Below are 21,196 nucleotides of genomic sequence, written 5' to 3'. Positions count from 1 at the left end.
TGTAGCATTTAACCTAGTCTCCCCAAATCTGTACTTCATATTGACTGCCTCTGTATGCTATAAAACTGCCTAAAAATGATGCTCTGTCAAACATTCTTTCTGGGTTTTTTTTGAAATTTAGACTGACAGGTATGTGTGTACACATTAAAAACACTGGGAGATTAGAGTGTTATCACACGGTGTGATGATACTGAGGAATACCCAAATCCTATACCTAGTAAAATCACCAACAGAGTTTCATGAACAAAGGGAACATATTGATATTACCAGAGGAGTTTCATGAACAAAAGGAACAAAAAGCAAAAAACCAGGTAATAAAGTTATATTTTATATTAGCTAGGACTGAGGCCTCCAAACCCAATACAGAGAACTTTAATAAATTTGGGATGGATCACACAGGGCATTCCTCCCCTCATACCTGAACTTCAAATCAAACCAGAGCATACAGCCTGTTACATTTAACTCCAAGTCTGAGTCTTGGGTTTCATCAAGACAACTAGATAAAAAGCCAATACATACACATCTGACAGAACCTGAAAAGATCTAATCAGAGAGAAAGAGTTGTCCCCTCAGTCTTCTGCAGAGTTGTCTAAGATGAAGTTAGAGGCTTGATGGGTCTATGTAATAGGCAACCAATAAATGTTAGTGATGAAAGGCCCAGAACCCTTGCCAGATAAATCATTAACCTAGGCTCTAGCTCTCTCTTCCCCCTGTAGCCTACCCCATCCCCCAACCTGTGGATCGAGGGTAATGTTGTCACTATATGCTGAATTTAACACTAAATGATTATTTGTAAAATATTCAATATAATCTTACATACATAAACTTTATTCTTTTCAGTGTCTTCAATTAGCTGCTTCATCTTGAGCACTGTTTCAGCTTCACCATAACTAAAACAAGGGGAGTAAATAAAACAATCCTGACTGCACTGCTATTTACTAATATATACTGAATACTCACTATATGCAAAATAATATTCAAAATGCTTTGCATAATCCTTATGTCACTGTACAGAGTTGGTACTATTATTCCCATCCAATAGATGACAAAAAGATGCATGAAGAGATTAAGTAACATATCGGAGGTCCAAAGCTAAATAAGTAGCAGAGCTGAGATTTGAATCCGGAGTCTTAATTACACTAGAGCTGCTCATAGGTCCCCTCTAACTATAAAATTCTAATGGCCAAAAGCAATGTGGTATTTGATATCCTATCTATTCCTAGCAACAATCCTAGAAAGCATATACAGTAGATCCTTATGTTGCAAATGAAGTGGAATAGTATAGGTGTATCTGGGTGCTGTGCAACGTGCCTGTAGTCCTAGCTACTCCAGAGGCTGAGGCTGGAGCGTGGCCTGAGGCCAGGAGTTGAATCCAGCCTGGATAACATAGCAAGACCCATCTCTAAAAAAGCTTTAAAAAAAAAAAATAACAGTATAGGTATAGAAAGTGAACATGCTTTGGAGTGAAAGATGTGGCTTCTAATCCTAGCTCTGCCATTTCCCACCTGTAGGATCTTGCACACAACTTGCCTTTCAGGGCCTAAGTTCCCATTTGTTCTCACTTTGCTGCTGCAGATAACAAATGATGTACATAAAGTGACTGACATAGGTATGTAGCACATAATGGACATTCAACAAAGTGTAGCTTTTCAATAATTTACAGTCTAAGACACTGAAGCACAAAAAGATTAGTGACTGGTAGGAAGGCACACAACTACTTGAGAGTTAGGGAGGCCAGGCACGGAGGCTCATGCCTGTAATCCTAGCACTTTGAAAGGGCGAGGCAGGTGGATCACCTGAGGTCAGGAGTTCGAGACCAGCCTGGCCAACATGGTGAAACCCTGTCTCTAATAAAAATACAAAAATTAGCTGGGTCTGGTGGTGGGCGTCTGTAATCCCAGCTACTCGGGAGGCTGAGACAGAAAAATCACTTGAACCTGGGAAGCAGAGGTTGAGTGAGCCAAGATGGCGCCATTGTACTCCAGCCTGGGCAACAAGAACGATACTTCATCTCAAAAAAAAAAAAAAAAAAGAAAAAAAGTTAGGGATAGAACCTCGGTCCCTTGACTCCCTAGTCCAGTGCCTTATACTTAACCAAATATCATCATTACTCACTTCAATGTTAGGATGGAAATAGATAAAAACTTTCATTCTCATTTTTTAATGGAGACATCGGATGGAGCACTTGAATTAACTCTCCAAGACAAAACATGAAGAATGGGTTACGAACCAAAAGTTCTAAACTCATGTTTTATACTAATGAACATGTTATGCTGGGTTAGGAACCAGAGAGTCCCAAAGAAACAGTACAATCACACAGATGCTTAAAATTAAGGCAAGGTAGAGCCAAAGAAATGACTTCAGAGATTAGCTGGTCCAGTTCTACCATGTTTCAAATGAGGAACGTAGAGATCAGAGATAAAAAGTGCTTACCTGAGTTTACAAAGCAATTTGTTCTTTGTAAAAGAGGGCCACATAATAAAGATAAGTCTCCCAATTTTTAATTGAAATAAAAGCAAATCGCTTCTTTCTGGACCAACTGAAGGCACTTTGGCTTTTGTTCCACAGTTCTAGAAAGAGGGCTGAAAAGTCTCATACTGTGTAACAACATTATTAAAGAACATAATCATCCAACAAACTTAAAAGTAGCATCTGGGTCAGGCACAGTGGCTCACACCTATAATCCCAGCACTTTGGGAGGCTGAGGCAGGTGGATCACTTGAGGCCAGGAGTTCGAGACCAGCCTGGCCAACATGGTGAAACCCCATCTCTACTAAAAATACAAAATTTAGCTGGGCATGGCGGCACATGCCTGTAATCCCAGCTACTTGGGTAGCTGAGGCACGAAAATCGTTTGAACACAGGAGGTCATGGTTGCAGTGAGCCAAGATCATGCTACTGCACTCCAGCCTGGGTGACAGAGCAAGATTCTGTCAATAAATAAATAAATAAGTGAATAAATAAATAAATAAATCTGGAAGTTAGAGCCAAATTCACCTCACTGCTATAAATTAAGACAATCTCACTTTTCAATCCTGAAGCTCCAGTGTCACATTATGGTCTTTAGAGGTAATATAATAGACCTTAATTTGGCCTCTCCCAAAAGGAAAGGTTAATATGCTCCAGAATGGATGCACTCAACTGTTTAGGCATTGTTTCAGATTTCTAGCACCAGGTGTTTTCATCACTGTGTCTCCTAGGGTGCAATCACACCTGCCATAGATGATCACGCAGTCTGCCTGGTGTCCCAAGAATAATTAGTCAAATAGCTCAGGGGAAAAAATTCAGTAACTATCTCAACTGAATTCATTAGAGCTTGGGTAAAGTAAATTTCCCATCTTCAGATTATAGGTGGCAAATGGCCTTGAAACTTGTTGTCACCATAATGTAAATGAAGAATTTGAGGCTCAGGGGCATAAGTTACTTGTCAAAAGTCACAAAGATAGTAGCACAGCCAAGTACAACACAGACTTTTTTTTTACTTCTAGTCCAATGCTATTTCGACCTTACCAACATGAATCTCCCCTCAGCATTTCTTGGGCTATGGCAAGCCTAAGCCAAATCCCAAGTCTCATTGCTATGCTCGTACCTCCTACCATGTATTAATATAATGCACTCTGCTACCAACATGCTTCTCAGAGGATGACAGGATGAATACTGGCTTCTCAGCTATTTAATTACTAGGTCCCAAATCCCTGCTAAGTTCAGCAAGAGAAGAGCTGGGACATGGGCTGAAACACCACCTTCTTCAAGGACAACTAGTCCTGTGAGGCTTGGGCTCCATTTTAAGCACCTATCTACTATGTACAAGATACCATGTCAGGTACTATGAAATAAAGACAACTTTAAAAAAGGGATGCCCAGTCATTTTAAATAAATTTGAAGTAGTTACCAAGACATATGAGACAATCATGGCCTCTGCTCTACAGTAACTCACGATCTAGTAGTGGAGAGAGACACATACAAGTAATAATAATACAAGACAGACCAGGATAAATGCTGTAACAGAGTTGTACCAACAAATGACTGTAGAACCACCAAATTTATCTATATTCCTCCTATAACTCAATTCAGTCAAAAGAATTCTCTTGGCTGGGTGCGGTGGCTCACATCTATAATCCCAGCACTTTGGGAGGCCAAGGCAGATGGATCACTTGAGGTCAGGAGTTCGAGACCAGCCTGGTCAACATGGTGAAAACCCATCTCTACTAAAAATACAAAAATTAGCCAGGTGTGGTGGCATGCGCCTGTAATCCCAGCTATTCAGGAGGTTGAGGCATGAGAATCGCTTGAACCCACTGCACTCCAGCCTGAGCGACAGAGGAAGACTCCATCTTAAAAAAAAAAGAATTCTCATGGGTCTTTTGGTTCCTCCACACATTTATGTACAATTGCACAACCCCAGCTGCAGTTTAGCAGAAAGTAAACTTGGAAAGAGGACCTGATTTAGAATCCTAGCTTTGCCATTTATTAATCCCTAGGCGATTACTTAACTTCTGAGAAGAGTCTCCCTATCTATCAAATAGAGTTAACAATTTCTTTGGAGAGATTCAATAAGACAGAATGTGTGAAAGTGCTGGCATAGATTAGGCTTACACCTTTTTTTTTTTTTTTCAATTTTAATGTAACTCCTCTTCTTTGTAAATATTGGGTACTCATTAAATGTTTATTGGATGAATATTCTGAAAAGTTTCTTCTTTCCAATTTATCGTATTTCTCTTTCCCTAACTCCAAGTCACTTCTAAACCATCCCTTTTCAAAATATGCTACTGAAATAGTAAGTTAGAACTATAAAGTTCTCTCTGAACATTCCTAAAGACCATCCATCCTTGATAGTAATATATAAAACCTGCACTAATTCAAGCTCCATCTCATATAAGAAAGCTGTAGGTGGCCAGGCACAGTGGCTCACACCTGTAATCCCAGCACTTTGGGAGGCCGAGGTGGGTGGATCACCTGAGGTCAGGAGTTTGAAGTCAGCCTGGCCAACATGGCGAAACTCTGTCTCTACTAAAAATACAAAAAATTAGCCGGGCGTGGTGGCTGACGCCTGTAGTCCCTGCTACTCTGGAGGCTTAGGCAGGAGAATCACTTGAACCCGGAGGTGGAGGTTGCAGTGAGCCGAGATTGCACCACTGCACTCCAGCCTGAGTGACAGAGTGAGACTCTGTCCAAAAAAAAAAAAGAGAAAGAAGAGAAGAGAAGAGAAAAGAAAAGAGCGAGCTGTAGGTTAGGATCCACTTTAGAAATCCGAGTTATTCTGTGGAGGGCAGAGTGTTCTTCCCTTTCTTTTGGGCAGCACCTGATGAGTGAGGGCTTCATGATCAGAAAAATCAGTTTCACCTCCAGTGCTACACTTCCTTCTTCTGAGCTCCGGTACCTTACTAACCTTTGGGGATACCATGAGCCATAAAGAAAAAGGACAGAGGCTTTAAAGAGCAGAGCTGTTTGCTATGTGTTAAAATGGTATTATACTTTGTATCTTGACTGTTATATTACAAGTTGGGATCAACTTAACAGAAGTCAAGAGCCACAATTATCTATAACTGACTGATAATCACAAAGTCTGCCCTCCAAGACCTCACATTATTAGGATGTAAAACTTTTGTCAACCATATAAAGCAAGTATGAATGCCAAGTATGAATATCAAGTATAAATGATACCATTAAAATACTATAGGCTCAGGCCAGGTGCGATGGCTCACGCCTGATCCCAGCACTTTGGGAGGCTGAGGTGGGCAGATCACTTGAGCTCAGGAGTTCAAAAGACCAGCCTGGGCAACATAGTGAGACCTTGTCTCTACAGAAAAATTAGCCAGGTGTTGTGGTGTGTGCCTGTAGTCCCAGCTACCTCGGGGGCTGAGTGGGAGGATCACTTAAAACCCAGGAGGTGGAAGTTGCAGTTAGCCAAATCACACCATTGCAGTCCAGCCTGGGCAACAGAGTGAGATCTTGTCTCAAAAAAAAGAAAAAAAAAAAAAAAAAAAAGAGGCCCAGTGTGGTGGCTCACACCTGTAATCCCAGCACTTTGGGAGGCCGAGGCAGGTGGATCACCTGAGGTCAGGAGACTAGCCTGGCCAACATGGTGAAACCTTGTCTCTACTAAAAGTACAAAATTTAGCTGGGTGTGGTGGTGGGCGCCTGTAATCCCAGCTACTTAGGAGGCTGAGGCAGGAGAATTGCTTGAACCTGGGAGGTGGAGGTTGCAGTGAGCAGTTGCAGTGAGCTGAGATCACACCATTGCACTCCAACCTGGGCAACAAGAGCAAAACTCTGTCTCAAACAAATGAACAAGCAAACTACATGCTCTTGTAAGACACTGAAAACAATTTTTTGGCTTTACTTTCACTTCAAGAGGAGGGAGCCAACATTAATTAATTCCTACTATGTCTCAGGCATTGTATTCTTATAGATGATAGCTTATTTAACCATCACAGTAATTCTATGGAAGAGAATTACTGTGAATAAATGGAACCTCCATTTAACAAACAAGAAAACTGAGGTTCAAAGAGATTAAGTGACACCCTAAAGGCTCACATAGCAAGCAAAAAGAGCTGGGACTAGAATCCCGATTTTGTCTGGTTTCAAAGCCTCTGCTCTTGAAACAAATATGCCTTCTCTACCAAAGGTTGATAATTCATTCGGTCATCAAAAATGTATCAAGCACTTACTATTTTCTACCCATCCACCTAAGACTGAGATATACAACAAAACAGACACAACTCAGCCCTCATGGAGCTTAGTGTCCTGTGAGGAAGATAGACATTAAACAAGTATATAATTAAATACAGTGTGAACCGATTTATTTATGATGGGTAAAAAAAATTCTGAGGAGACATTAGGGCTGAGACCTAAAGGATGAATACAAGATGATGGGAAAGTGGGTAGTTAAAAGGAAGAGTGTCTTAGTCTGTTGGTGCTGCTATAACAAAATACCGTAGAAATTTATTTCTCACAATTCTGGAGGCTGGGAAGTTCAAGATCAAGGTGCCAGCAGATTTTGTGTTTGATAAGGGCTCACTGTCTGCTTCCAAGATGGCACCTTATTCCTGTGTCCTTTGGAGGTGACAAATGCTGTGTCTTCACACAGCAGAAGGAATGGAGGGGCCAGGCAGCTCTCTGTAGCCTCTTCTATAAGGGCATTAATCACATTTACAAGGGCAGAGCCTTCATGACTTAACCACTTCCCAAGTGATTAATACTTCTTAATACCACCTCTTAATACCCCCACGGGGGGGACTAAAGTTCAACATGAACTTTGGTATTTCTCCAATATTCACTTTGAAGCCTAATCCCCAATTCAATGGTATCAAGAGGTGGGGCCCTTAGGCCCCTCATGAATGGATGAGTGCCTCATAAAAGGGCTCGAAAGGGTGAGTTCGCTCCTTCTGTCCCTTCCGTCATGTGAGGACACAGCATTTCTTCCCTCCAGAGGATGCAGCAGGAAGGTGCCATCTTGGAAACAGAGTAGTCTTCACTAGACACCAAATCTGCTGACAACTTGATCTTAGATTTCCCAGCCTCCAGAACTGTGAGAAATAAATTTCTGTTCTTTATAAATTACCCAATCTCAGGTATTTTGTTATAGCAGCACAGACTAAAAAGAAAACAGCATGTGCACAAATCCTAAAGAGAGAGCAAGAACTCAGACTGTTCAAAGCTATTAAGGAGGCCAGTGTGTCTTGACTACGAGCAGGGTAGAACAAACAACATTGTGAGAGCACCCAGGGGCAAGCTGTGGAAGGTCCATGTCTGTATTCAATTGTAATGAGAAGCTTCTGAAGAGCCGTGAGAAAGCAACATGTCCAACCTACTTTAAAAATCTTATTCTAGGCCAAGCACAATGGCTCATGCCTGTAACCCCAGGACTCTGGGAGGCTGAAGTGGGAGTATCACTTAAGCCCAGGAGTTTGAGACCAGCCTGGGCAACATAGTGAGACCCCAGCTCAATTTTTAAAAAAGAATTAAAAAACAAAAACAAAAACAAAAATCTTATGCTAGCTACAATGTGAAGAACAGACTGGAGAGGAGCTACGATGAAGCAGGGATCCCAGTAAAGACCAGGCAAGAGATAGAGAGTTTTAACTAATAGGGTGCCAAGGGGATAAAGAAGTACATAGACCAGAGATATAATTAGGACTTGCAAATAGACTGGAGTGGGAGGGAAAATCAAAATCAAATCAAGAAGAGAAATCAAGGGTGATGGCCAGATGTGTAGTCTGGGAACCTGCAGGATAGTGGTTCTATTTGTTGAGGTGAAAACATCTAGAAGAGAAACAATTTTTTGAGTGTCTCAGTATGTTCTGTGTTACTTTAACAGAATACCAGAGACTGGATAATTTATAAAGAAATGAAATTTATTTGGCTCATAGTTCTGGAGGTTGGAAAGTCCAAGAGCAAGGTGCCAGCATCTGGCAAGAATCTTCTTGTTGTGTCATCCCATGGTGGAAGGTAAGAGGGTAAGAAGGAGAGAAAGAGATCAAACTCACAGCCTCAAGCCTTTCAGTAATTGGCATTAATCCCTTCAGGAGGGTGGAGCCCTCAAGAACTAAATACCTCCTACTAGGTCCTACCTCCCAACGTTGATGCACTGGAGATTAAGTTTCCAAAACATGCTTTTTAGGGGACACATTCAAACCACAGCAGTGAAAAAATAAATTCATTTTAAAACATAAATTACACATGCTGGTATTCCAATGACGATGTCAACTACGCACTTAAATATCTGGAGCTTAGAGAAGGCACATGTGATTGCCAGATGTTCCGCTGGCCCTTCCCATTTAAGCTGTAATGCTCAAGACAGACTTAAGTGGACAGGAACAACAAACCCAGTTGTCACCCTTAATCTATTTTAACATAAATGGTGGGTTTTCAAAGCACAAAAGAATATACCTCTCCTTGGAAAATAGTGTAGAGAGCAGGCAAGTTTTCCATGGTCTCAGGCCTTCCTGAATTCATCCTTAATATTCTATGGCTCCTCCATTTCTCTTCTATTAAAGCTAATACAAGTGTCCTGTCATAAAGAAATCAGACACCAATTAGAGAGATATCTGCATTAAAGAAATGAATATGCAGACAATCCACAGCTATTCTCTACAGAATAATACCACTAGATTTAACACCATACACTTTTATCCAAATCTCTTTTGTTTATTCTAATTGTGGGGAGTTTTGGAAACCTTGATCCTATTTCTCAACAATTTGTTACTTACCCAAGGCCATTAGGCTACTAATTTTGTTGTGTTTGGTTTTTTTAAATTGCTATTTTTGCTATTTTTTTTGCCGGGGAAGAATTTTGGGGGAGGGTGGGAAAAGATGTTAAGTATGTTTGACCGGATCTCAAAAAAATGGAATAACAGAAATAAAAACATTAATGCAGCACTTACTATGTCCAGGCACTGTGCTAAGCACTAGACATGCAATCTCGTTTAATTCTCAAAACTCAGGCTGGGTATGGTGGCTCACACCTGTAATCCCAGCACTGTGGTTGCTGAGGTCGGACGATCTCAGGATCAGGAGTTCCAGACCAGCCTGGCCAACATAGCGAAATCCCATCTCTACTAAAAATACAAAAATTAGCCAGGCATAGTGGCAGGAGCCTGTAGTCCCAGCTACTTGGGAGGCTGAGGGAGGAGAATCACTTGAACCTGGGAGGCAGAGGCTGCAGTGAGAGATCACACCACTGCACCCCAGACTAAGGAACAGAGCGAACTCCATCTCAAAAACAAAACAAAACAATTCTCAAAACTCTTAAAATGTAAGTTCTATTACTATTATATTATACAGATGAGAGAACAAAGGCTTCCAGAAGTTAAATTACTAAGCATGTCAAAAAGCCAGGAAATGGGGAGTCAAACTGGCTGACTCCAGAGTCCATTCTCTTAACTACTATGCTAAGGTATTAAATCTGAAGTGACTTCAAAGAGAAAAGGGCTTACTTTTTTTTTCTTGATAAAATTAAAACACATACACACTGTGAAAGTTCAGATAATAAAAAAATTCAGATAATACATTAATAATAAAGAAAATGAAATCACCTGTAATTCAATTTGATCTATATTCTTACAGTTTTTTTATATGTAGAAGTGGTTTTTTAATGGAATCATGAAATCATTTTCTTACTACAGCAATTCATACGCATACACAACTTTTTGTTAACACGTACCTAATAATCCATTGTTGGATGTACCAAATTCATTTAACTATTTCTGAATTATGTGAAAATGCAGATTGCAGTTCAGTAGGTCTGAGGTGTTACCTGAGATAATGCATTTTCAACCAGCTACTAGGTGACACTGATACTGCCTAAGTAGCAAAACTTACAGCTTTGGATACTTACCTTAGAGATAATCTTGCTCAGCCTCCTGATCTTAAACAGAGGGGAAACCAGCAATCTAGCGGCTCTTAAACATGCCTCTTTACTCTGTTGGATAAATCACTGCCAAGATAAATCTAATGGTACTATCCTCAGTTCTCTTTCCTCCCAATTACATTTGACACCAGTAAGACCTGAAATTATTTTTCTTGTGTTTTCACAGGTAAATACTTTCTTCTCTCCTCAACCCCCACTGCTTCCTTTCACTTTCAGAGGATGACTTGATGTCCTGATTTTGGTAAGTATTCCCGATTTACAATGACCATCCATTAAATTGACAGCTTCACTTGAAACAGAAATGAAAGAAAATCCTTTCAGGACATCCAAACCCTTGTTCTAGTATTATCCCACAGCTCAGGAACATCCCTGTCCTCAAGCTCCCTAAGATAATCTTATATCCTTATACTAAACTTGCCCTTTTCTGCTTAGGTCAGCCAAAGTGTCTTTTTATTACTGTACTAAAAGTACACAGAGCTAATACAGGCAGATTTGTCAGTTCTTGAGAAATAGCTCATAAACAGGTTAATTCCAAGTTTTACATTCTGGTTAAATCCTGCCTCTTCCATTTCATAGCAATACAATCTCATCTCTAGCCTGTCCTTTCCCTCTGTCCAGTATCCCTCACCTCACATGCTAGAACAGGAGTTACTAATCTATCAGGTTCTATCAGGAGACTTTTATTATCCCTCCAACACTTGAAACGTATTAGTGAGGTACAGAATCCATAGGGGCACCAGCAGCTGAAACATCTAAATTAACTTCAAACATCTTAATCTATCATCTGTTACTCTACACACAAAGGTCATAGGCCAGGTGCAGTGGCTCACGCCTGTAATCCCAGCACTTTGGGAGGCCAAGGCGGGTGGATCATCTGAGGTCAGGAGTTCGAGACCAGCCTGGCCAACACGGTGAAACCCCATCTCTACTAAAATACAAAAAATGAGCCGGGCATGGTGGTGCACACCTGTGGTCCCAACTACTTGGGAGGCTGAGGCAGGGGAATTGCTTGAACCCAGGAGGCAGAGGTTGCAGTGAGCCGAGATTGTGCCACTGCACTCCAGCCTGATGACACAGTGAGACTCCGTCTCCAAAAAAAAAAAAACAACAAAAATCAGCCAGGCGTGATGGCAGGCGCCTGTAATCCCAGCTACTCTGGAGGCAGGAGAATCACTTGAACCGGTGAGGTGGAGGCTGCAGTGGGCCAAGATTGGGCCACTGCACTCCAGCCTGGGCAACAGAGCAAGATTCCATCTCAAAAAAAAAAAAAAAGTCTAAAGCAGAAATGAACTTACATTGTTGCTTACAGACTTCTGCTGTGATAAGCATACAAAAAGCTAGGTTTAATGCTCCCAGATTTATACCTCTTGTAGAACAGTGGCCTAAGAAACCCCATGCAATTCTTCAAGAAGGAAACTGGGGCCAGGTGCAGTGGCTCACGACTGTAATCGTGGGAAGCTAAGGCGGGAGGATCACTTGAGGCCAGGAGTTCAAGACCAGCCTGGACAACACAGTGAGACTCTATCTCTACTTAAAAAAAAAAAAAATCAGCCAGGCACAGTGGCTCACGCCTGTAATCCCAGCGCTTTGGGAGGCCAAGGCGGGTGGATCACAAGGTCAAGAGTTCGAGACCATCCCGGCCAACATAGTGAAACCCCGTCTCTACTAAAAATACAAAAATTAGCTAGGCATGGTGGTGCGCACCTGTAGTCCCAGCTACTTGGGAGGCTGAGGCAGGAGAATTGCTTGAACCCGGGAGGCGGAGACTGCAGTGAGCCGAGATGGCCCCACTATAGTCTAGCCTGGTGACAGAGCAAGACTCCGTCTCAAAAAGAAAAAAAGAAAAAAAATCAGCCAGGTGTGGTGACACCAGCCTATAATCCCAGCTACTTGGGAGGCTGAAGCAAGAGGATCGCTTGAGCCAAGGAGATCAAGGCTGCAGTGAGGTACGATCATGCCAATGCAATCCAGCCTGGGCGACACAGTGAGACCTTATCTCAAAAAAAAACTGGCATGCATTTTTGAGGGAAAGCCTGAAATATAACAGTACAGTAGTCCTCCCATCCACAGTTGTACTTTCCACAGTTGCAGTTACTCACAGTCTACCACGGTCCAAAAACACCAAATGAAAAATTCCAGAAATAAACAATTCATAAGCTTAAAACTGTTATGTTGTTCTTATTAGTGTGATGAAATCTTGTGCCATCCCACTCTGTTCCATCTGGGATATGAATCATCCCCTTTGTCCAGCGTATCCATGCTGCATACACTAGTCACTCAGTGTATATTAAGTGCCCATTAGTCACATAGTAGCCATCTTGGTTATCAGACTGACTGTTGAAGTATCTCTGCTTGTGTTCAAATAATCCTTTCTTTACTTAATAATGGCCACGAAGCAGAGTAGTAATGCTGGCAATTTTGGTATACCAAAGAGAAGCTGTAAACTGCTTCCTTTAAGTGAAAGGGTGAAAGTTCTCAAGGGGAAAAAAAAAATTGTATGCTAAGGTTGCTAAGATCTATAGTAAGAATGAATCTTCGATGTCTGAAATTGTGAGGAAGAAAAAAACATTCATGTTAGTTTTGCTGTTGCACCTCAAACTGCTAAAGTTATAGCCACAGTGTATGATAAGTGCTTAGTTAAGATGGAGAAGGCATTAAATTTGTGGGTAGAAAATACAAACAGAAACGTCTTCCAATTGATAGCAACTGGGTTCAGCAGTGCCCACAATTTTAGGGATCCAATGGGGGTCTTGGAATGTATCCCCCATGAACAAGGGGGTATGACTATAACAGGTTTACAATTTCAGGAAAGTAAATGGTTGTCATTTTTTAAATATGGAATATAAAACTTTTTTTCAAATTCTGTAGAAACCGAGGGTTCTATTGCGGTTACTCAGAGGCTCCTTAGTTAATCCAAATTTATTTTTAAAAAGTCAACTTCCAGGCCAGGTACAGTAGTCCACACCTGTAATTCCAGCACTTTGGAAGGCTGAGGTGGAAGGAATGCTTGAGACCAGAAGTTCGAGGCCAGCCTGGGCAACACAGCGACACCCCATCTCCACAAAATATTTTTTAAAAAAAAGAAAAGAAAATTATGGCCGGGCATGGTGGCTCACGCCTGTATCCCAGCACTTTGGAAGGCCAAGGTGGGTGGATCGCTTGAGGTCAGGAGTTCAAGACCAGCCTGGACAACACGGTAAAACCCTATCTCTACTAAAAATACAAAAAATAAAATAAATTAGCTCGGCATAGTGGCACCTGCCTATTGTCCCAGCTACTCAGGAGGCTGAGGCAGGAGGATCACTTGAGCCCAAGAGATGGAGAGTGCACTGAGCCGTGATCATACCACTGCACTCCAGCCTAGAAGACAAAATGAAACCCTGTCTCAAAAAAAAGAAATTAAAAAAAAAAAGTCAACTCTGAAATATCTAGGTCACCACAAGGTCCCAGACCAGTGAGGCTGCCTCTAAGTCAACCAACCAGAGGTGAGCCTCCATACCAAAGGCTGAGGGAGTAGAACCCCCAAAGAAACTAGAGCTGGGAGAAGTCCCACTCAGAGCAGTTGGGTAGAAGCCTCTCCTCAGTAATTAGGCAAAGGTCAATTATTACTGATTCACAGTTAATCTCCCAACCTTATGGTGGGCCACAGTGAAAGGGGGAGTGAGTGAGAATTACTGCAAGGGTGCCTACTGTAACAACGTATTCTGCTTTGATCCAGTTTACATATTAAAATTCTGTGTAAGATTTCACTTGGAAAAAAAAAGAGTTCTGCTACTTTTAAAGAGTATACAGCCGTGCGTGGTGGCTCACGCCTGTAATCCCAGCACTTTGGGAGGCTGAGGCAGGTGGATCACGAGGTCAGGAGATCAAGACCATCCTGGCTAACACAGTGAAACTCCATCTCTACTAAAAATACAAATAATTAGCCAGGCGTGGCAGCGGGCACCTGTAATCCCAGCTACTCGGCAGGCTGAGGCAGGAGAATGGCATGAACCTGGGAGGTGGAGCTTGCAGTGAACCAAGATCGTACCATTGTACTCCAGCCTGGGCGACAGAGCGAGAGTCCGTCTAAAAAAAAAAAATAAGAGTATATAACATTGAGCCAGGCACGGTGGCTCACACCTGTTAATACCAGCACTTTGGGAGGCCATGGCGGGTGGATCACTAGAGCCCAGGAGTTCGAGAATAGCCTGGGCAACACGATGAAACCCCATCTCTACTAAAAATACAAAAATTAGCTGGGCATTGTGGTGGGCACCTGTAATCCCAGCTACTCGGGAGACTGAGACAGGAGAACCACTTGAACATGGGAGGTGGAGGTTGCAGCGAGCCGAGATCATGCCACTGCACTCCACCCTGGGCAACTCCACCCTGGGCAACAGAGACTCTGTCTCAGAAAGAAAAAAAAAAAAGAGTATATAACATTAAGATAGATACAGTCAGTCAGACAGGACCACATTCATACACTTAAAAGAGCCAGTAAGTCGACAAGGATTGAGGTACACCATTTGGAGTTGCCTTGCAATAGCTCTGAATGCAGAACAAAGCATTTTGCTTGCATGTTTTAAACAACTGTGTTACATAGGGAAGCAACAGGGGACCAATTACTAGCCACTCTCTTTCCAAAACAAGGGACAGAGAAAGGAAAGTATGGGATGGAAGTAAAGGATACAGGAGAAGAAATGGTGGCCCAGAGTGAGGTCAGAGTCTAAGCTGGGTGAGGAGGAAATCTACAAAGAGAACTGCAATATAGGGAAGAATAAGGTGATGAAGGCACACACTGGAGCAGCCCAGAATGGGTAGTCAGAGCTCGAGCATCAAGAGGTGGGGCCTGAGGATCAAAGAAGTAATGCAATGTTAATTTCATAATGTTGGTAATTACACTGTGGCTATAGAGGAGAATGTCCTTGTTTGTAGGAAAAAAAGTTTTCAGGGCTGTTGGGGTATTGGGTCAGCAATTTAACTCAAATAATTCAGAAAAATGTTATCTGTACATGCTTCCATAATTATGTGATAGTTTCAAAAAAAAATTTTAAAGTACACATGCAACTGGGAAAAAAACCCTACACATCCTGTCCTCCTATCCCCCAAGCAATGAAAAGTTTAAAGAACAATATTAAATTGGCCAGACATTTTATAGCCTTTTTGGAACTTCATTTAATGTGTCACCTTACTGACCTGGTCAAGATTTTTGTTGTTATCATTTTCCAGCTTGTTTGGATTTAGATTTTTTTGTTACTTGAGTACTAATTGACTAGAACCCTAAGAATTTAAAGGAATTTTAGTTTATCTTTAAGCTGTGCTGGAATTGTGAGCAAAGTAAGCTAACTAAAACTACTAGGATATGAACAGAGACAGAATAATGACTCCAGAGCCTGCACTGTTTGCTTTGTTTTTTGTTTTGAGGCAGGGTCTCACTCTGTTGTCCAGGCCGGAGTGCAATGGTCCAAACATGGCTCCCTGCAGCCTTGACCTCCTGGGCTCAAGCTATCCTCCCGCCTCAGCCTCCCAAGTAGCTGGGACAGAAACACACCAACGAGCTTGGCTAATTTTTTTTTTTTTTGAGGGGGGGTAGAGACTGGATTTCATTATGTTGCCCAGTCTGGTCTTGAACTCCTGGCTCAAGCAATCCTCCTACCTCAGCCTCCCAAAGTGCTGAGATTACAGGCATGAGCCATGGCACCCGGCCAAGAGCCTGCATTCTTAAGCACTATACCTCAAAAAGAATTCACAATCGAATATGGTTTGGCTTTGTGTCCTCACCCAAATTTCATCTTGAACTGTAATCCCCACATGTTGGGGGAGGGACCTAGTGGGAGGTGACTGGATCATGGCAGTTTCCCACAGTCTGTTCTCATGATAGTGACAGAGTTTTCACGAGATCTGATGGTTTAAATGTGGCAGTTTCTCTTGCTCTCTCTCTCTCTCCTCTGACACCACTTAAGACGTGCCTTGCTTCCCCTTCACCTTCTGCCATGAGTTATAAGTTTCCTGAGGACTCCCCAGCAATTCAGAACTGTGAGTCAATTAAACCTTTCTCCTTTATAATTACCCAGTCTCAGGGAGTTCTTTAGAGCAGTGTGAAAATGGGCTAATACACGGTCTAAATCTAAATTTTGTAGAATATAGCTCTAACACTAACTAGGTCCCAACATTAGAGGAATCAATGTGGATATCATTCATGGAAGAGCTAGGATGAGCAACGTCTGGATCCATTCATTCAAACATGAAACCAAGGACCATTTCTCATTTGATTTTGTGTTCCTGGGGTCTGGTATACTACAAGTACTCAGTTTTTTTTAAATGAGTGAACTGAGCCTCACTATATGCCAAGCACAGGTAGAGAAAGAGGGGGGAACACATTCTGGTCTAAAGGATATAGAAGAAGAAGGAGCTAGGTCCCATTTAATATGTTGGACAGATCAACAGATGGAACACTTCTTTTTTCTTTTTTTTTAAGATGGAGTCTCGCTCTGTTGCCCAGGCTGGAGGGCAGTGGTGCGATCTCGACTCACTGCAACCTCCACTTCCCGGGTTCAAGTGATTCTGTCACCTCTGCCTCCCAAGTAGCTGGGACTACAGGCATGCAACACCATGCCCAGCTAATTTGTGTACTTTTAGTAGAGACATGGTTTCACCATGTTGGCCAGGTTGGTCTCAAACTCCTGACCTCAAGTGATCTGCTCGCCTCGGCCTCCCAAAGTGTTAGGATTACAGGTGTGAACCACCGCACCCGGCCGGGACACTTTCAAATGTCAAACTGGTGGTCCAACTTTCCTCCCTCCCACCAAATTCTAGAGTGACCATGTAAGATAGATGCTTCTTGCTTTCAAATTCCAGTCGTGGACCTGTTGAGAAAATAGCCAAAAGCAGGAAAGAGGAATAGTAAAATGCCAGGAAAAACACAAAAGATGAACTCAGAAAATGTAAAAACTTAAAGGAATTATGGAAATAATTAAACCTATTACTCTTAGGCCACTGAAAATGAAGCCAAGTGATTTGACAAAGGCTGCTCACAGTTAGCAACATTGGTATAAGACCCCAGGATCAGCACTTATTCTACCACTCGACACTACACTTTCAGTCAATTATTCCTAAGATCCCTTCAAAGTCTTATAATAGCTAATATTTGAGTGCTTCATATCTGCCATGTATTAATCTAAGAGCTTTACTTCTCTTAACTAATTTTTCTTTTTAAAATTTTATCTTCATGACATTCAATAATTCTCTTCTTGACTATCCCATAAAACAGGCAATTATCATTGCCATTTTAAAAATGAGGACACAAGAGAAGCTAAGTAAACTCGCTCAAGATTGCAAAATATGAATGATGGGGATGGGATTCAAATCATTTTTAGGGACATTTTTTTCCTCCCTTTGTAGAGTGTGGAACTCTTGTAAGCATGCCTTTGTCTTGCACATCATCATATCCTTCCTCCCCAAATCTCCAGTGCCTAGCACAGTGTAACACACATGGAAATTGTCTACTAAAATAGTGAAGTATTTAATTTTACCCCATTTAAATTGTTAATTCATCAATTCAGTATGCTATTGATTGATGTTTATATATAAGGTACTTTATAAACCTGCTTTCAATCCCTAAAACTCCTCTACAAAGCAAGTAATCCTATTTTACAGGAATGAAATAACTTGTCCAAAACAACACAGCAAGAAAGAGACAAATCTTAGGCCATTCCAAGGGCCACACACACTTGCCACTAAACCACCCTTTTTTTTCTTTTTTTTTTTTTGAGACAGAGTTTTGTTCTTGTCACCCAGGCTAGAGTGCAATGGCGCGATCTTAGCTCACTGCAACCTCCTCCCAGGTTCAAGCGATTCTCCTGCCTCAGCCTCCCGAGTAGCTGGGATTACAGGCACACACCACCATGCCCAGCTGATTTTTATATTTTTAGTAGAGACAGGGTTTCACCATATTGGTCAGGATGGTCTCGAACTCCTGACCTCAGGTGATCCACCTGCCTCGGCCTCCCAAAGTGCTGGGATTATAGGAGTGAGCCACAGCACCCGGCCTAAACCACCCTTTTCAACACAGTCCCTGTTCTCAAAGACCTCCTAATCTGATAGGGATATCAGATATCATCATTCCAACAACACTCTAAACTCCCTTTAACTCTGTCTTTATATTTAACTATCTGGCAGTATGTCTAACCTAGCCCGGGACAGTTGCAGACAACAGAACCCACTTAAGCAGAAAGGGATGTATTGCAATAACAGACTTTGGCGGAACTTCCAGGAACAACACCTAACCCACAAAATAACACCAATTACACTGCAATGTGATAAGTGCTAAAGCAGAAGCTTGGGGGCCAGGCATGGTGGCTTATGCCTATAATCGTAGCACTTTGGGAGACCAAGGCAGCAAGATCACTTGAGGCCAGGAGTTTGAGACCAGCCTGGACAACATGGCAAGACCTTATCTCTATAAAAAATACAACAATTAGCCAGGCATGGTGGCACATACCTGTTATCCCACCTACTGGAGAGGCTGAGGTGGGAGGATCACTGGAGCCTGGGAGGTCGAGGCTACAGTGAGCCATAATCATGCCACTGCAATCGGCCTGGGCAACAGAGTAAGACTGTCTCAAAACAAACAAACAAAAGTAGTAGCTAGGAAGAGAAAGAGGGTCTGGGGGAAGTAGAGAAGTTAAACAGATAACTGAATAAGCCTTTTAGGATAAACAGAAATCCTCTAGCAGAGAATACTGTTCTTTGACCTCATTAGAACCCTGATTTATTGGCCTCTATTTTCTTCCAATCTATCAGCCCTCCCCTTTTTCTTCAGTTTTCTTCCAATCCAGCTTAGATTCCATAGCCCATCATTCCAACAACACCCTAAACTCCCTTTAACTCTGTCTTTATATTTAACTCTCTGGCAGTACCTCTAACCTGGTCAGGGACAGTTGCAGACAACAGAACCCACTTAAGCAGTAAGGGATGTATTGCAATAAAAGACTTTGGCAGAACTTCCAGGAACAACACCTAACCCACAAAATAATACCACCTTTGCCACAATCCAGGAAAGTTATGGCTATCACTGCAGCAAGCCACCAAACCAGGGAGCTATTGACTGGAGAAATTTACTGCCATGACTGGCAGCAAAACTGGATGACTCACACCCTCCTTCTTTCCACATTTAACTCAGTTCCAAATTCAATTTTCACCTTAGGTGCAAGGGAGTCAAGAAAATGGTTTTTAGTTTTCCAGATTTTTCAGGAAGAGAAGACATATTAGAGGTTAGAATGTGTCTTGAGCAAGCGATGTCCTTGCCATACCCAGAAAGGTTTTCTCCATGCATGCACTAAACCGCTGGATATGCTGGAAAAAAATTTTTTTTTTCCTTGCATCCTACATTTCTCTAGTAACCTCATTCTCCCACACTCCACAGTGACTTTCAAATCTTCTACAATATTCTCAAATTTCTCAAAACTGGATCCTCAACTGGATCCTGGATAATCCCTTATCCCCATCGGTTAGCACATCCTCTCCTCCTCTTTACAATCAGATCTATGAAAAATACTGTGTAGGTTCACTACCTACATTTTCTTGTCCAAATCCTTGCCTCATATCTGGCTTTTGGCCCAATCACACCAACAAAATAACTCTTGCTAAGGTTACTGTGACCTCCATGATGATAAAAGCCAAAATATGTTTTTCAATCTTCATGTTATTTAAATTCTAGAAATTTCTATCACAAATCATTCTTTTGCTTCTGAGACATTCTTCCAGTCCTCCTTCCTTTCTTCTGTATCTCCTGTAGGTTCACCTGTTCTTCACCATTAAATGTTGGAACTAGTCAAGGTTCTGACTTAGCTGACCTTACCCACACCTATGGCTCAATTCATGTATATACAAATTATGCCCAATTTTATATTCCCAACACAAATCTCTCTTCTGAGCACAAAGCTGTATTTCAAACTGCCTCTTGGATGTCATGAATGACCCCACACAATCAATCAATCAATCAATAAAAACTGATCTCAGCTGGGAGCAGTGGCTCAGGCCTGTAATCCCAGAATTTTGGGAGGCTGAGGCAGGTGGATCACTTGAGGCCAGGAGTTGGAGACCAGCCTGGCCAATATGGTGGAACCCCATCTCCACCAAAAATACAAAAATTGGCCGGGCACAGTGGAGGCGCCTGTAATCCCAGCTACTGGGGAGGCTAAGGCAGGAGAATTGCTTGAACCTGGGAGGTGGAGGTTGCAGTGAGCCAAGGTTGCACCACCACACTCCAGCCTGGGCGACAGAGCAAGAACCTGTCTCAAAAAAAAAAAAAAAACAAAAAAAAACTGGTCTCTAATCATCTTCTAGTGTTCCCTATCCAGCTTGAGGGATTCCGTGATAGTGAGTGAATGGTACCACCATCTATTCAACTACATAAGCCAGAAACCTAGGAGTTACCTTTGATTCCTCTCTTCACTCCCTAAAATCAACCCATCACCAAGTCCCACCCATTTTACCTCCTATATACCTCTAGAATCTGTCCAATTCTCTGCAGTTCCACCCATATCTCAGTCCTCACTGACATCTCTGACCAGGATTACTGCATATCCCAAGTGGTCCACATACATCGACTAGGGCTTCCCCAACCCCCGTCTGTTCACACCACTGAGCCTGAGGGATCAAGTCCCCTCCTCCACCACACCCCACTGGGGGAAGACGGCTCAGTGGTATCTCATCCGTTTTAAAATAAAAGCTACAAATTCCTGCAAGGTCTGACCGCTATCACGTACAGCTTCATCTTGTACCATACTCCCTTCATTCTCTTTGTACCAGCCACACTGGCTCTTTGTGCTTTTAGTCATT

At 42.1% G+C, this 21,196-nt stretch overlaps 1 protein-coding gene across 11 annotated transcripts in view; it reads right to left on the bottom strand.

Moving 5' to 3' along the window:
• ZCCHC17 (zinc finger CCHC-type containing 17) overlaps positions 1–21,196 on the bottom strand; it is a 67,905-nt gene that overhangs the window by 45,880 nt on the left and 829 nt on the right. For 6 of the 11 annotated variants that reach the window (NM_001282568.2, XM_047422508.1, NM_016505.4 and 3 more), the window contains exon 2: positions 8,893–9,013. The exons of 3 other annotated variants lie outside the window; for them this stretch is intronic. In NM_001282568.2, coding sequence (NP_001269497.1) covers positions 8,893–8,958 — 66 coding nt within the window. In that variant the 5' untranslated portion in view covers positions 8,959–9,013. Of the gene's footprint in view, positions 1–820; positions 891–8,892; positions 9,014–21,196 lie in introns of all 11 variants that reach the window. 2 more of the 11 variants (NM_001282569.2, NM_001282573.2) reach the window with 1 other exon arrangement.

Source organism: Homo sapiens, chromosome 1 (genome assembly GCF_000001405.40).
Source record: "Homo sapiens chromosome 1, GRCh38.p14 Primary Assembly".
Classification (NCBI taxonomy): Eukaryota; Metazoa; Chordata; class Mammalia; order Primates; family Hominidae; genus Homo; species Homo sapiens.
Note: the sequence above shows the minus strand (reverse complement) of the source record. Positions and strands in the feature narration are given on the sequence as shown.